At 35.3% G+C, this 17,899-nt stretch overlaps 1 protein-coding gene across 5 annotated transcripts in view; it reads right to left on the reverse strand.

The window, feature by feature from the left end:
- HYCC1 (hyccin PI4KA lipid kinase complex subunit 1) overlaps positions 1–17,899 on the reverse strand; it is a 118,288-nt gene that overhangs the window by 74,158 nt on the left and 26,231 nt on the right. For all 5 annotated transcript variants that reach the window (XM_011515590.3, NM_032581.4, NM_001363467.2 and 2 more), the window contains exons 3-7: positions 13,944–14,045; positions 8,269–8,448; positions 7,341–7,421; positions 6,693–6,808; positions 6,210–6,305 (exon numbers count right to left, since the gene is read on the reverse strand). In XM_011515590.3, the coding sequence (XP_011513892.1) occupies positions 6,210–6,305; positions 6,693–6,808; positions 7,341–7,421; positions 8,269–8,448; positions 13,944–14,045 (575 nt within the window). The remainder of the gene's footprint in view (positions 1–6,209; positions 6,306–6,692; positions 6,809–7,340; positions 7,422–8,268; positions 8,449–13,943; positions 14,046–17,899) is intronic.

A 17,899-nucleotide genomic window follows, 5' to 3' on the forward strand; every position in this document is an offset into this window, starting at 1 on the left:
TGTTGTTATTATACAACTAAAAAAAAATTTGCATGGCTCTAGGATGGTCACTCATCTTTTAAACTTACTTTATGTAAGAATTACAGAGACAATTCTCTCAAATACCAACACACATGAAAGATTTACAAAGGAAATAAAATTCCAGGTTCTCTCATTTTCTATACTAGCTACTTGTAAGGAAATAAGTGATCATCTATCAGAGGCTGAAATTAAACGTTTATTCAGAAATGCAAATTGTTAATGTTTTATAACTAGGAAAACTAAAACTGATGATTTTATTTACCAATGAAAGATTTTTTAAAAGTAAAAATCCAATTATTTCCTTTAATCCTAACTCTACTTATCAAATCATAAATCTGAGTTGAAGAGCTCATCTATCATTCACTCATTCAACAGTTATTGAGGTTCTATCATATGCCAGGCACTTCTAAGCTCTTGTGATATAGCAGTGAACAAAAAGTTCCTGACCTCTTGAAGTTTCTAGCAGTTGACAGTCTATATCAAAAGAACAAACAAGGTAATTACAGTGTTATGAGTGCTACAAGGAAATAAACTAGGGTGGGAAAGTGCTACTTTAGGAATGATGGTCACGGAAAGCCTCTCCAAGGAGGTATCATTTGAGCTGAGACCCAAAATAATCTAGTCCTATCCCTCTGCATCATTAACTGGTAATGGCATCTCTTTTCTCTACTCCTTTATTTTGGTACTTAAGAATTCTCTGAATTAGGTTTTTTCTGATTCCTATCTTCAAGGATATTGTTTGCCCATATACCCTTCACTGAATTTAAATGCCAAAAAAACAAAGCAATAAAGCTATATGCCACATGAATGCCTGGCTCCTCTGTTCATCACGGCTATGTCCTGAAGTTCTCTGATTTCCCTTCACAAATCCAAACATAAGGGTATGTCCTTACAAAAGAGCAGCTGAGTGCCATAACAGCTATGTCTGTATTAAATTTACTCTGCCAAATTCACAAGGCATGTGAAAATAAAATCCTTTCCGGAAGGTGTATTTGGTCAATATATTTCTTGGAGAAGTTCTTAGCATCAATGTGTAAGTGAGAAAAACTCTTGTTGTGATTCTCATTCTCTGGTGAGAGACATGTGTGTTATTCTTAGAATAAAAATAAACTTTTGGGATTGTTAATATAGCCTCAGTTACAAACCATAAAATGATTAGGAAGACCCATTCCAGTGAGTTTATTTATTCATGATAGACCAGAACCAAAAGTAGAAAAGAAAGGTTAATTATCAGATAATATAAATGTATTCAGATAATATATTTATATATAAATATATAATTATAATATTACATATAATATTATTATCAGATTATTATTATCGGATCTCCAGATCATCAGGCTAGTGAGTAGAAACTTGGCTGAAAAGGGGAAACAGGCCGGGTGTGGTGGCTCACATCTGTAAACACTTTGGGAGGCTGAGGCCCCCAGAGTGCCTGAGCTCAGGAGTTTGAGACCCGCCTGGGCAACATGGCGAAACCCTGTCTCTACTAAAAATACAAGCAATTAGCTGGGCATGGTGGCATTTGCCTGTAGTCACAGCTACTCAGGACGCTGAGGCACAAGAATTGCTTGAGCCTGGGAGGCGGAGGTTACAGTGAGCAGAGATTGTGCCACTGCACTCCAGCCTGGGCAACAGAGCAAGACCCCATCTCACAAAAAAAAAAAAAAAAAAAAGAGGGGCAGAGAGAAGTGGAGAGGAAAAGACCAGGAGAATAGAAAAAGGGGAAAGGAGAAAAGAGAAAGTGGAAGAATTGCCTGAATAGTAATGAGCACTTTTCTGTCCTGCTTGTTCTGCTCTTTAAGAGCTTAATAAAGTCTGCATCTTCTGTCATGTTTCTCAAGTGAAGATCACACACAAAAATCATGCTCACGTAGTTGGAGGAAAGATTATTTCAGTTGGGTTGTGAAGGATGGGCAAGATTTACATACCGGTAAAAAGAAGTTTCCAAATAAAATAACAAGCAATTGAAAAATTTGCCATAGGTTCTTTCAACCAGAAATGACCTTATATCAGATATGCTCTAGAATTGTTGATACAGTCATAGCAAACAGGTGAGAAAAAAAATGAAAGCAATGACTTATGTGCATCCATAGTGAATGTGTGTGCTCACTGATGGGGTACAATAATATGCCAGCTGTCATTTACTAGATGATAGCAAAGTGGCTGATGCTGCATTAAGTGCTTTATATTTATATAAATTTTATTAGTCAGGAGCAAAATGGCTTACTCGTAACAAAGCTGCCCTTAATTGACAGAAAACAATCTGTTCAGGTGGTCAGAAAAATTGACCTAGAAGTGAGGAGAGGCAGGGATTCATTACAGGTACACAGAAACAAATACACTGATCAGGAACTCACAGCTATCCATATCCAGGTTCGTCAGTTAGATGACTCACTAGCTAAACAAAATCAGAGCTGTCCCTTAGACAATGGGAGAGAATTCAACTTAATAGCTGAGCATAGTTTCATTCTTAATATTTATATTCCACATCAAAAAAGAAGATAAGCCATTTGTTAAACAGTCTTGTATTAAATGTCCAACAGAAAGAAATCATTTCCTCAAACTTAGAGGACTCTGGCATATACTAGCAAAACTTATTTGTAGCATTGGTGAGTATATTTCTTTTCATAGTGCCATATACATTTAGTACTAGCAGAGAACAAAAGCTTCCTGACTATAGCTTATTCAGTTTAGCTCTTGCTTGCTGTCAGATCTCTTCTTCAAGTTGTTCACACATACTATGTAGGAAGAAAACAGGCTATCAAGCTGGCCATCAATCAGTCTGAATCAGGAAGGCAAAGCTTATAGTAACTGAACAGATTTTTGCTCAGTAGAATGAATTTGTGTGAGCATAGGTGGAGGGTGGGAAGTGTTCAAGATTGTTTTAATTATTTTCATAACTAATTAAAATCAGAAGATTAAAAAAAGACTGTAACACATTTGTCACTGAATCTAGTTCATCTATCCCATGAATTTTTTCTGGTTGTATTTATGTATCCTTTCTCCTAGATGACCCAGTCAATCATTTTGGTATAGTCATCAACCAAATTGAGCAGCAATCTAAAACAACTATCACATGGCAAACAGGATTAGATGGCCCATGTAACAGCAGGATCACTTTCATCTTCAGGAAAACCTGTGTTAGTGCTAAGATCATTAAGAAGCTCTTGTACTTTAACTGGTATAACCATTTCTAACTTACTTATCACCACAGTTCTGTAACCAATTTTCTTTCCATAGATATGAACTAGGCTTAACATGATTAACAAAAGTGTTTTCTAATTCTTTTCTATTCATCTTAGAAATGTACAAAACCTCCTAATTAGAATATCTGATAAATGATTAAGAAAGCCAGTAGGTAAGAGAAATAAATAACTGGATTTTATCATTGAGAATACAGTCAATAGGGAATCTAAAATGAAAACTTAAAGACATAAACAACTAAAAATGACAGGAATGATAAATTTGATAGAGTTCCTCTAATATAACACATTGTAGTTAAGAGTTAGCATTATTTAGATAGCTTAAGTCTTTTAAATTACTTAGATCTTTTCCCCCACTCTTGTTTTTTTTCACAGCTGGTGGACATTTACATGAAATTAATTTCTCTTGTGGCATAAATTGATCTATTTCTACCAAAACTTCCTTGGCCAAAATCCTATAGCTAGTTTTAAAATAATCTGTTTCTCTTTGTTTTTAAAGCCAGTTTTTACTTGCATTCTCTGTTGAAGAATTATTCAGTTCCCTGGTCAGGTAAAATTGGTATATTAGCAATTTTCTACTCATAATATAAAAGTAAGTATATTAGAATGTACTACGTTAGAGTTAGATAGGCTAAAAATCAGTGACACATGTTCTTTTCTAACTTTTCCGTCAGTAGTTTCAGGGAAACGTCAAGAGTGGTTGGGCACTGTATTAGAACATCTATGGAGCTTCAAAAAATACATTTATATATAATACATAAAAATACAAATATATACATATATAGGCATTCCTGGATCCTACCATCTAATACACTGCTTCAAAGTAGGACCTGGACTTTGCAGTGTGTTCTAAGTTCTAGAGGTGAAAATTGCTGCATTGTTACTCCTTAAACCAGTATTTCTGAATGTTGGTCCTTATACCCATTTTAGTCGATAACAGAGTTTTCACTAGACCATAGTGAAACGAAAAGCAAGGAAAGCTAAACTTATCCCATTTTTAACTTATAAATTATTTTCCTTCCCTTCCACCCTCCCACCTTTTTGATATTAAAATAGTCTCCCTTTTGTTAAATAATGTTGATGGTAGACATTTACAATATAATGACTTGGCAAAATAAAAAGTTGCCAACACTTATGTAAATAACCCAGCTGTTCCACCTTTTTTGAGATTTTACAGATCTGTGAAATTCAAAAGTCCGGACATTTCTGCCTTTAAACAATTTAAAGCAAAAAACATCTTAGAACGACTTGGTGAGTGGGAGAGATGAACCACTGGTACCATCTTTTAAGGTTAGGAAATGTAATTATGCTCTAATTTGGAAAACACCTGAAAGACTTCACGTCTCTATCTTCTCTACCAAGCCCTTTGTCTTGTGAATTCTCTTCCTCTGCTGATTCTGCATGGCTTTCTATCCTATTCAGTATCAAGTTCTGATTTTTTGTTTATTTTGTTTTCATTTCATTTCTAAGTATTGCTCAATGATCCCGTCCTCTGTGATATGGTTTGGCTGTGTCCCTACTCAAATCTCATCTTCAACTGTAGCTCCCATAATCTCCACATGTCGTGGGAGGAACCCAGTCAGGGGGTAATTGAATCATGGGGTTGGGTTTTCCCATGCTGTTCTCACAATAGTGAATAAGTCTCATGAGATCTGATGGTTTTATAAAGGGGAGTTCTCCTGCATATGCTTTCTTGCCTGCTGCCATGTAAGACGTGCCTTTGTTCCTCCTTTACTTTCCACCATGATTGTGAGGCTCCCCAGCCATGTGGAACTGTGAGTCCACTAAACATCTTTTCCTTTATAAATTACCCAGTCTCGGGTATTTCTTCATAGCAGTATGAAAATGGACTAATACACTCAGGATAAGTTGCATTTTCTAAATAAATTCCTCAAATAGAAATTATTCCACATGTTCCTTAGTTCTATAATATCTCTTATTTACTTGAATTATCGAGGGGAATAATCTGTCATTTTTGTTTGTTTTGTTTCTCCTTTTTAAAAAAAGTAACATTCACATTACCAAAAATTTAGAAAATCACAAAAAAAATCACAAAGGAGAAAATTAAAATAAACCACAATTCCACCAACTAGAGATAATCATTGTTAATATTCTGGTCATATTCAACCAATCAGGAAATCATACCATACATACTATCATTAACTACTCTTTTAAATCAGGATTTTTAAAATGTGAATATACTATACTCAAGGATATAATTTATTTTATAACCCCTTGGCTCAATTTATTTTTAACAAGAAAAGTTTAAGAACCAGTATCTCTTACTTATTTCTTAGTTCCAAATTAGAGCACAGTAAAAATAAATAAATAAATGCAAACAAAAAGAAGCCAACCACATGCCAAAACTTGAAAGGTCATAACAGCTCTATCATTTAGCTATATACTATAATCCTTTTCTGATTAAATAGTCAATTTAAACGTTATTCAGCTTTACATTCTTCATGATGTTCTTGTTTTTGTTGTTTTTGTTTGTGTTCTTTGTTTTTGAGACAGGGTCCTGCTCTATCGCCCAGACTGGAGTGCAGTGGTGCAATCATAGCTCACTGTAGCCTCAACCTCCCGGGCTCAAGTGATCCTCCCACCTCAGCCTCCCAGGTAGCTGGGACTACAGGCGTGCACCACCATGCCCAGCTGATTTTTTAAAATTTGTTATAGAGACAGGGGTCTTGCTATGTTGCCCAGGCTGGTTTTGAACTCCTGGGTTCACGCAATACTCCCACCTCAGGTTCTCAAAGTGCTGAAATTACAGACATGAGCTATCGCATCCGGCCCTTTATCATGTTTTTTGTGACTATCAATTATAGGGAACTTTCCATGTGTTGGGTAGGCTGAGCTTTACATTAACTTATTTAATGTTTTAAACAAATGATTACACAAAACAAAAATAACTTAGGTATGTACCAGACTAGCAATCATAGATTCATATATTTCAATATTAGAAGCACTTGAATTTTACTTTACCTTGAACAAATTTGACACAGTGACTGAAGAGAAACACTGGGCATGTAAGTTAAGGCAGCATTGTAACACAACAAAAGGAATGTCAACACTTCAAACCTAAAGACAAACAAAAAGAATATTAACAAATCTTTAGAATTCTAAGAAGTCAACTATAATAGGGGAGAGAGCACTCCTTGGGGAGAGATACAATGTTACAGAACAGACCTGCACAGTATAAGCACACCAATAATGAAAAACTACAAGGAAAAAAAGACTTTCCAAGTAACAGCCATATGAAACCTGTCTTTAAAATTCAGTGTTCCAGCTGACACCTGAAGCAAAGCACAGTGACAAATCTAGATCTGTTTTTCTCTTGTATAAAATGACTCAGTATTCAAATAAATTGTCACACACAACTCATTAAACATTATTTATAAGTCTACTGAAATAATTTTCTTAAAAAATTAGTGGATTAAGATAAGAATTTTTATCCCCACAGTATACCGATTCTGTGCTGTCAGCATCTCCCTTTGAGGATGAGGTCCACTGTATACCACTTTTGACAAACCATGCTGGGATAGTGCACTCTCAGTCAGAGCCATGGACCCAATGCTGGAAGGCTAGAGAAAAGACATTTGAATAAAGAAAAAAAAAGCTATTCTGCTGAAAAGGTGATATATAGAATATATATATACCACTAAAATAGCTACCACGAACATCATATATCTTAAACATATTTAGGCTGCCTACCAAATTTTCTGCTCGAAGATTTAATAACTAATTTTAAAACAAACCACAAATGAGAAATAAAAATTAGTTTAATTTCACAAATTCTACCATGGAAATACACAATTGCCCACCCACCACCCCCCTGCCCGCCGGCCAACACACACAAGTAGCCATCCATCAGGAAGAGGGAAAAATATTTCAAAAAGAATACTTTCAATAGATCTCTTATTAGCACATTTTAGTTTGATGTTCATTTATTTTGATTTCTTATCTCAATTTGGAAATAGTAAATACTTTGTGGGTGTTTATACTTTTGCAGGTACTAATAAATTGATCAATTTTTTTCCTAAATAACTAGATTATAACTTGTGGCAATATCAAAGCTTAGGGTCAATAAACTTACTGTGATAAAATGTCACTTACTTCATGGTATACAGATGGTTTGGATAAAGATGGAATCGTAAAACTCAATACTTTGGTATGTCCCTGTTTGTCAACTATTTCCTATAGAAGTGAAAGAAAATATATTAAAATACATACTTTCTTACACACAAATTTACAAACTAAATTTAAATAGTCTAAAACATTTTTTTGAAAAAGACCTGAATAGAAAGGAATTTTAAGTTAAAACCTTAAACCATGATAATCCATTATTATTCATCAACACCGGTAGTTAAACTGTACATCCTTCCACTTAAAAAACATATGTAACAAATTTTCAGGATGGCTGAGATACAGATACAGTGTCTTAATAATCCTTGATCTTACTCATGTAACAAGTTATATTTGCTAAGCGAAGTAATCATTTAAATATGAAATATGTGAAGAAAATGACCTTATATTTCTTTTCTATTTTGAAAGGTACAAAACTTAAGTATCTAGAATACCATACGAATTAACATATAAACTCTATTAGTAATGCAAGCCGTATGTTAAAATAATGTTGTACACTCTGGAGACAGTCTAGATTTTATGCAACTATGATTGGTGAATATTAGAGTAAATCTTTTCTCCCAAACTTTCTGTGAAGGTCAGAAACAGATCATTTATAGACAATGGACTTTAAGTTTACAAAATTTAAAATGCAACACTGATATTTTCAGATATCTCTATAAAAGAAATGAAATGGTCTGATTTTCAACCTTCAATCAATCCATAAAGGTAAGTTACATAATTACATGTACGCTTGTATGTCTCCCAATCCCCAGAAAGTTATATTTGGAAGAATGGGCTATGAGTCATTTGGTGTATGAAAAAACAAACACTAGCTTTATTAAAATGAAAAGCAGTTGCACAGGTTATATATTTGATTTTGTCAAAAAAGATTTTGTTAACTCCATTAAATACAAACCAAATTGTAAACCCCTAGAAGAAGAGCTTCAATGCATCCACTGCTATGCACATTTCTGCTGGCTGAGACTGCAAGGTAGCACCAAATTAGTTCTGGGAGAAATTGCAGCGTAAATTGAAGCAACTGCTCCTCTCCACTGCGATAGAATTCAAAGAGCTGGTGACAGACAGGTTCTAGCAACTAGAAGAAAGACAAAATGTTAATTCAAGAACTGGACTGTATTTGAATGGAACTACTATATGAAGTATAAAAGGTTTTCTCAGATTGGTAAAAATCATATCTTTTTAAGTTCTTAAAATAGCTAAGTTGTAGGGAGTTTCTTCCTAAAATATCCTTTCTTCCTGGTAAAACACATGCCACTATATAAAGGATTGACTATGGGGTTGAAGAAATTGAATGGGAATCCTGGGTAGTTACTGTCCTATCTCCCGCCTCCTGAGTTTATAATTTGACAGCATCTGACAGGAATGATTGGTACATAGGGGGGCTAAATAACTACAGACTCCCCTGGATCTAGAACCCTATTGTAACCATGATTAATTGGCCCTGGATAATCTAAATATTGCTGTAATTTTATTTTAAACATAATTTGGAGTCATCTACAACCTTTTCCTCTCCCACCACACTCTCAACATTATCCAGTTAATAGAGCTGACTGTATCTTTATAATGGGCTTTAAAAAATCAGATAGGCAAGGTAAGACCCTCTTATAGGTAAGTATTCTCTTAAAGCATATACAATGATTGCACACAAGTCATAATCAAATATGTTAAGAGATTCACAAGGTACTGTTCACAAGGTACTGATTTTTCAAGCAAATTATCAGGCTATTTATTATATATATCCAATGAACTATACCTCACCTAAGGCAACAAATTTAAATATACTAAACAGATTTTCTACAACCAATAATGGTAATGAACAAAAACTAATTTACAGTGGATGTTTTGATTTCAAGTAAGTGAAATATGTAAACTGAATATAATTAAAGTCAATATTGTTTATAAAAGGTATAACAAAAGTTATACTTCAATAAACACTAAGTCAAACTAGTCTTTCCTATTGAAAAATTACCTAACTTCTGACAGTTAATCTTCCACAAGGAATACTTTCTCCACTCTTGAAATGGTCTTTAGAGGGCAACAGATGTCCACTGTGGCCATGGAAAGATAACAGAAAAACAGAGGGGCAGGAGGTAAAGTCATGCCATTCAGAGATAGCAAGAAAAGTTTTTAGCGTAGGAATTTGGAATGGGGATAGAGGTGGCTGGAAGAAAGAATGACTGGTTAGGGATATTTAGCTTTCAGGGTGGAGTTTTCAAAATTTTCTTTGCGGACCCACATCAATAATCTTGAATTGTGGCATAACATCCCTCCCTCATCTCTAAATCCCTCAGAAAGCTAAATCAATTGAGATAGTCTAACAAACATTGCAAAATTATGAAATCTTATTTGAAATTTTATTCAAGACAGTTTGTATGAACACATAATTTTAATCAAAACATACTCAAAAGGCTTTATAACCCATTTAAAATCCAAAATTTAGAGTTTTTGCCATACGAAAATATAACAAGACAGATTCAAAGGGGAGGTAGAAATATATTGCAACAAGATTAGATGAAATTATGCATTTGAAATTAGTACAGATAAATATCAATATCTGCATAGTGTGTCACAGATTACAAAGTACTTACACATACATAAACCCATTAAATTCCCACAACACTGGAGGGTAAAATATCATTATCCACACTTTCCACAGAAGGAAACTAAGACAAAGAGGCTATCCACTATGACCAAAATCACATGACTCACAAGGGTCAGACCTGGAGCCAGGTATTTTGACTTCTTTACCAACATACCTGAAAAATGTCAGGAAGAATAAAATGATATACAGTGTGGGAAATACGGACAGTGTCTGACATATCTAACTTGACTATATTTGAAGCAAGCAAAGGAGCATTAGAACCTGCTGTGTTCCTGGTGTCTGGGTTGCATTTTTTAATGTTTTTTTTTTTTCATGGAAACCATATTATTTATGGTGGTTAGGTTTTACAGTATTATTAAGAGAGACTGTACCTCAAGTATATTTATATGTGTTAAATGGGCTTTTATGGGTTTAATGAGAACCTAGTCACCATGTGTCATCTCTCCATTGTAAAATAAATTTTGAGTTCTGAAACAACTAAGCTGCAAATGGATTTTTACAACAATTCATTCATAAGTAACAAGTCTGTATCCTAAGAGAGATTTCTAGTGGTAACAGGCACATGACTCAAAAATGTTCTTTAATGACTAAGTAAGGAAAATGTTCTTTAATGACTAAGCAGGAAAAGAGTCAAGTTTTGGTAAATTTAGAAGGAAAATCTTGCAAAATTTTTTGTATTGAACAATTACTCAGGAACATTGGGTAAGAAAAAGATACGGAAAAGTTGGAGAACACTACTATTCAGGAACCAGCAGCTACTGGTACCGGACCTCTCCACTCTCTGGACTCCCGACTCCTAGAACTCCAAGGAGACTTTATGTAGGTCTTTCAAAAAACAGCTGATTTCATAACAGACTTAAGTAGTATCAACCTCTACTCATAGGCCTGTCTCAAAGTTATAGTCAACTAAAAGCGCCGCTTAAGCAAACTGCACTGTACCCATATAAACTGCCTCTTTATAAGTTTCTTGAACACATCACATATCGCAGGGCCTTTCCACCTACAGTTCCCTCTCCTGGAAGGCTCTTGCCCCTGATTCCACCCCAACTCCTAATTCGTTTGGATCTTGATTCAATCGCCAACTTCCTCAGTCCCAACACATATTTCCCTTACTTCATTTTATTTATCCTTATAGCTTTATCACTAACTGACATAGTATTATATGTTTAGTTATTTGTTTAATGTCTTCTCACTAACTAGAAAACAAGTTTTAATCTACAAGATCAAGAATTTAGTCTATTTTGTTCTCATAATTCCTAAGTGGTTCCTGACACATTAAATGCGTTTAATAAATATTTATTAAATGAATAAAACTGAATAATGAAAAAGTACTATTAGTGAAGTTTAAATGCCAAATTTGTTGCACTTCAAATAATACCAGAAACAATATCTCAAATTTCAAAAATTCTGGAAAATAATAATATCAACTTGTTAGGAATATTTTCAAATTTAGACACAAAATATTCTAAACAGCAAAAGGGAGGTTAAAATGTTAAAGTAGATTACACTGTTATATTTTAGAAGCACTTCCAAATATATCTGAAAGAGCGAGTGGTTTTTTTAAGAATACAGAATACACACAGTCTTCACCACATGAACCAGAATAAAAGCACGAAACTAACATGCAAGACCAGAACCAATGCTTCGGAAAGTGTGGTCCTGAGGATCATCCACAAACTGTTATCAATCTCCAACAATATAAATATAGAAATTGAGAGGAAATATTTATAAACTTTTATAGCAACTTAATATTGTTACAAGATCCAAGTGAGTGATTAGCAGATTTATCAGAGTATACATCAGTTAGGGAATATCAAATTTGTGTGGTGCCTCACACATGGTGTGAGTTCATGTTAGTCATGTATTTCAGATACACATATTTGTCTGTGACAGATGATAATTTTTTTAAAAAACTGGTCCATCATCACTAGTAGTTTGAGAAACACTGCTCTGAACCATTAGAGCTATATTCACTAGAGTTATCTGAATAAAAGGAATGCTATAAACTAATCTAGCCAATCATAAATTTATCCTACAAACACTTTCCAAAGTAGCCTAGTTAAAACATACTTCATGACAGAATAATTTTTAAGCTTCTCAAAATAATAAATAATAAATGATCAACAACATTTGTTAAAAAACATAAAGCGTATGGCTATACTTACCCTATTTGGTGAAATATATAATTCTAAACCAAACATGGAAAACCTTAAAACAGCTTTCACTCAATATTTAAAAAGTAAAATCCTTCAAGAAAACAGCCTACCTGTGCATTCTATACAAGTTAAGAAGCTTTGGGAAGAAGGAAGAGACAAGACAAATATGATTCTTCAATTCAGTTATTCCAGTTAAAGTTTTTTGGCTTGTCAATATACTCCCTAATCCCTTCAGCACCTAAAATTCATGATACGCATTATAGTATTACCAGTAGGAGTGGGATATTCTATACCCCCTCCAAAAGAGGTTAACTACTCAAAAGAAGAGCCTCCCTCAATTTTGGTAGTTTCATCCCAGAGATACATAGATCCATATTGGACTGGACTCCAGGATATGTTACTTTACCACTGAATCTGCTGTTAGAGTCTATCATGCCATCAATCAAACTCAAGTACAAAAGGAATTATGTACTTCAGATCCCTCTCTTCTACCATACCTCTTTCCACTCCTCCTGACGCTGCCCAAGTTTAGGTTCTCAACAGCTCCCTCCTAGGCTATTGTCATAGCTTCCTAGTCTTCTTGCATTCCCCATCTTTTCATTTGCCAATCTATCCTCCACATAGCCACCTTCCTAACCCCTCAGTGCAAAAAAAGTCTAAACTGCTTAAGATGGAATTTGAGGCCCACCATGGTTATGTCCTAAACCTAGCTTTCTAGCTTCAGCTCCTATCACAGCCTTACCCTCTATTGTTAACTACTGCATTAGCCTATTCACCTTTTTCCAAATGCCATACCTTTTTACTTTTCATCCTATTTCCAATTTTTTTTCTATTTCTACTATGAATGGTAGGATTTACAAGCAGCAGAATCTGGAATATAGATTATTTTATTACCTTCAAACTAAATGGGCAGCTAGTGAGGCACAGTGCCTCATGCTTGTAATCCCAGCACTTTGGGAGGCTGAGGTGGATGGATTGCTTGAGCCCAGGAGTTCGGGACCAGCCTGGGCAACATGGTGAAATCCCATCTCCACCAAAAACACAAAAATTGGCCAGGTGTGATGGTGCACGACTGAAGTACCAGCTATTGGGGGTGCTGAGGTGGGAGGATCGCTTGAACCTGGGAGGTCAAGGCTGCAGTGAGCCATGATCACACCACTGCACTCCAGCCTGGGCAACAAAATGAGACCCTGTCTCAAAAAAAAAAAAAAAATCTAAATTAGCCATCTGAAAAAAGAAAGAGTGGTAGTGGGGCAAGAGGAAAGACTGGGAAAGGCACTAGCCGGGCTAAACTATTTGCCATTCTTTAAATGCCTTGCATTTTCTGAGCCTCCGTATACTATCCCCACTGCATGGAATATTCTTTTACCTTGCCACCTGGAAAACTTGTGCTTATCCGTAGACTGGATTAAGGATTGCCTTGAAACCATGTGTTTACTTATTTTCTCCCACTTTCCTCTTTCAGGATAAAAACCATGTGTTACTCAATTTGATTCTCTACTGCCTAGCATAGCCGATGGCTCATAATGGGCACTCAAATACTTGCTGAATGAATAAAATGAAATGCAGTGACATAGACTTTTCAAAGCTACCTCTAGCGAGAGAGAAAAAGAGAGAAAATGTTCAGAGATGGCTTCTGGAATACGGTAATAAATTATATTTCTTGGCTTGGGGAATGGTACACTAGAGTTCATTTCAGTATTGTTCTTTAAACATATACATTTTCTTACCCCTTTATATCTATTTCACAATAAAAAATTAAAAATCAATCAAGTCAATACTGTTAGCACAATAAACCATAAAAGTACTTACCTCACTTTGTGGCTCCTGGATAACTTTATAGAGAGATGAAACTAAAGAACTCTTGTCTTTCAAATTTGTGGCATAATTTGGTAAAGATGTTTCTGGTAATGTCTAAACAAATTTAAAAAAATACATTTTACTTTTATGAAATGTCCAGAATAGGCAAATCCATAGATGCAGAAAGTAAATTAGTTGTTGCCAGGACTGCAGATGGGAGAAGAAGATTAGGAGTGACTAACAGGTATGAAGTTTCTTTTTGGGGTGATGGAAATGTGCTGGAATTAGATGCTGGCATTGGTTGTACAACACTGTGAATATATCAAAAACCAAGGCAAGGTAAACATGTTTACCTTAAATTAGTAAATTTTATCTTATATTAATTATATCTCAACAAAAATTCAAAATAAAACAAAAAATATACTTTATCCTCTTATCAACAAGGACATAAACTAACATCAACACTTCATCTTTGATCATAGTTTGGGATTAGAGATGGGAATATAGGCCAGGCGCAGTGTCTCATGCCTGTAATCCTAGCACTTTGGGAGGCTGAAGCAGGAGGACTGATTGACCCCAGGAGTTCAAGACCAGCCTGGGCAATATAGTGAGACCTCGTCTCTACAAAAAAACAAACAAAATTAGCTGGGCATGGTGGCATATGCCTGTAGTCTTGGCTACTCGAGAAGCTAAGGTGGGAAGATGGCTTGAGCCTGGGAGGTCAACGCTGCAGAGAGCCATGATTGCAGCATTACACTCCAGCCTGGGTAACAGAATGAGACAGGGTCAAATTAACTCCGGAGTTACATACTCTGACGGTTGAGCATGAGAAGGCTGTTCTACTTAACCAATTGAAGGGAAAATTTAGACTTTTCAGAGCTAGAGAAAAAGATATCCACACTACCAACAAACGAATTTTCCTAATGCCATTTAAAATACAGACAACTAGTCACAGCTTGCCAGAACCACCTATTCAGAACAAACACCATGACCAGAGAGTAATGGGAAGAGATAAAACTCCAGTAGTAAGTCAGATGATTTTGAATAAAAGAGTAGGGAAATCTGAATAAAAACATTTCATTATCATAATGATAAAAACCTTTCCTTCTGGAGCACACCCCCTCCTCAGCGATATCTGTTTCCTAAGTCATTATTCTCTCTCACCCAAATTACTTCCTTCAGTCAGTCATTGCCAATCCTGCAGTAGATACCATGTCTCAGGATATTCCTAACTCACTCTAAACATACATTATTCCTTATATGTCTCATATCCTAGTATTTCAAAATTTAATATGGGTTATGATTAGTATATAGGTGGATGTGTGCATAAATTAAACAGCATAAATTTTTACAATAAAGACATTTGATTCATTTTCACTTTACTGTGAGCTCCTTGAGGGCAAGAACTGTCTTATCATCTCTGCAACCACAGCACTCACCACAGGCCCTCATACGCAAATCTTTGCTGAGGGAACATATTATAGATAAACAAAATAAGAAATGAAAATTGCCATTGCTTATACTTTGGTAGATTCTTTAAAAGTGGGTCATATTTCACCTTGGGATATATAAGTGAATAGAATTTTTTTTAAGTTTAATAAGAGAGTTTTATTTACCAGAAGGGCAAGCAAATGTGGACTATTTGGAAACCTTTCACAATTCTCCCGACGGGGGAAAAAAAGGTTTTACTGCAACTGCTTACATAAAGACGAGATTAAGGCATTCTTCAATATTTCAAAAGTATGACACAAAAGATCTCGAGGCAACATTCCATTTCCGTCATTTGATCAAGAGTAACCTAATACTGGGGGAATTTATATAAAAGGGAATAACAGTCAAATAAACAGCAGATTCCTAATCCTCTGAATAAAAATAAATCTAAATTATATATATAATTTATATATATAAAATGCATTATATATATTTAAAACACATTGATGTCTAACATATGTAACTATGTATACATAGTTACATGTATACATGTCTATGTATACTGTGTATACATGTCTAACATATATATCTAACTATAAAATTGAAGAATAAATGAACCAAAATATAAATGTTTAAAAAAATTAGTGAATAGAAAGATTACTACTTTATATATATATATATCATCTAGGCTAAAACTAGATCATTCATTAAAAACATGAATTACAATGTTCAGCTTATATACTAGCTGACCGTCACGAGGTAAAATATTTTCTGTGAAACACCCAAAGGCAAAAAGACAGCTGTTTGTCTGAAAAGACAAGCTCTGGAAAATACCATGGACCCAGGCTACCACTGATAAATGAAAGGAAGGGTATCTTAAATATTAGTGCAGTAATAATACCTTTTATTCACAATTCTGTCATCATTTTATTTAATGAATGTGGGAAAAGTTAATTTTGTCTGTAGAGAGGGAGAAAATGTTGTGTTCATGAATGGTGTTTTAAAAAACAAGATCTAAAGGAGCCAAATGAATTTAAATACTATTATAGCAAAAACATTTAAATTTTCTCACACTGTACTAGTTCAAAGGTAGTGACCTTCTTAAATACTAGCTTAGCTTTCTCACATTTCAGAAGGCATAACTGGAGTTGAAAAGCACCTAATGGAAAATTATGTTGGTATATTATTCTTGGCAAAATTTGACGCTGGGCGCGATGGCTCACGCCTGTAATCCCAGCATTTTGGGAGCCTGAGGCAGGTGGATCACGAGGTCAGGAGTTAAAGATCAGCCTGGCCAACATGGTGAAACCCCGTCTTTAGTAAAAATACAAAAATTAGCCAGGTGTGTGGTGCCACGCACCTGTAGTCCCAGCTACTCGGGAGGCTGAGGCAGGAGAATCGCTTGAACCCGGGAGGCAGAGGTTGCAGTGAGCTGAGAAAGTGCCACTGCACTCCGGCCTGGGCAACAGAACGAGACTCTGTCTCAAAAAACAACAACAACAACAACAAAATTTGAAGACAGATGCCTCATACTAAAGTATCATTTGACAGATGGTTTTTCAAAAATGTAAGGAGGTGATAGGGGTTGAGTAGCAGAGAATTAATGAAGATGGACAGATGGGTGAAGAACCAGTAATTAAAACAATCCTATTCAACAACATCACACATAAGATTTGATTTTGAGTCACATATTGAGATTCAGCAACTATCAGAAAATTTAAAAAAATCAGGAGTCTGGAAATCTGCTAGATAAATCTACCACACAGCAGTAACAAAAATAACACAATCTGAAAGATAATATTTTATAAGTAAATCTTTGAAAAGATAGAGCTTGAACTATTCATGAAATCTTAAAATAATGAAGTCCTAGACTAATCATTTAGTTGGTACATAAAGAAAATAGGACAAGCGCGGTGGCTCACGCCTGTAATCCCAACACATTTGGGAGGCCAAGGCAAGCGGATAACTTGAGGCCAGGAGTTCGAGACCAGCCTCGCTAACACGGCAAGACCCCAGCTCTAATAAAAATACAAAAATTAGCTGGGCATGGTGGTGCACACCTGTAATCCCAGCTACTCAGAAGGCTGAGGCATGAGAATCACTTGAACCCAGGAGGTGGAGGTTGCAGTGAGCCAAGACTGTGCCACTGCACTCCAGCTTGGGTGACAGTGTGAGACCCTGTCTCAAATTTTAAAAAAAGAAAATACTAATGAGAGTCCATAGCTAGAGCAGACAATGAATAATTTTACCAAATTTTCAATTTCAAAAATTTCATCTCTACACATCTGAGAGATGTTGGGTGAGGTTAGGAGTTCAGACTGACTGTGCAACAGTGTAGAGCTAAAAATCATCTTCATAAACCACTTACAGTACTTTAACTTTTCTGATGAAAATATGAGACCCGGAGAGGTTATGCCCAACATCATAAAACCAGCTTGGGGAGAATTAGAATTAAGTCAAAGGGTTTCTTTCAGTTCACTTACTCAATCATGATGACTTGGCCTTATTAGCATCATGGTTATTAAATAAAACAATCA

The sequence above is a fragment of the Homo sapiens genome, chromosome 7 (genome assembly GCF_000001405.40).
Source record: "Homo sapiens chromosome 7, GRCh38.p14 Primary Assembly".
Lineage (NCBI taxonomy): Eukaryota > Metazoa > Chordata > Mammalia > Primates > Hominidae > Homo > Homo sapiens.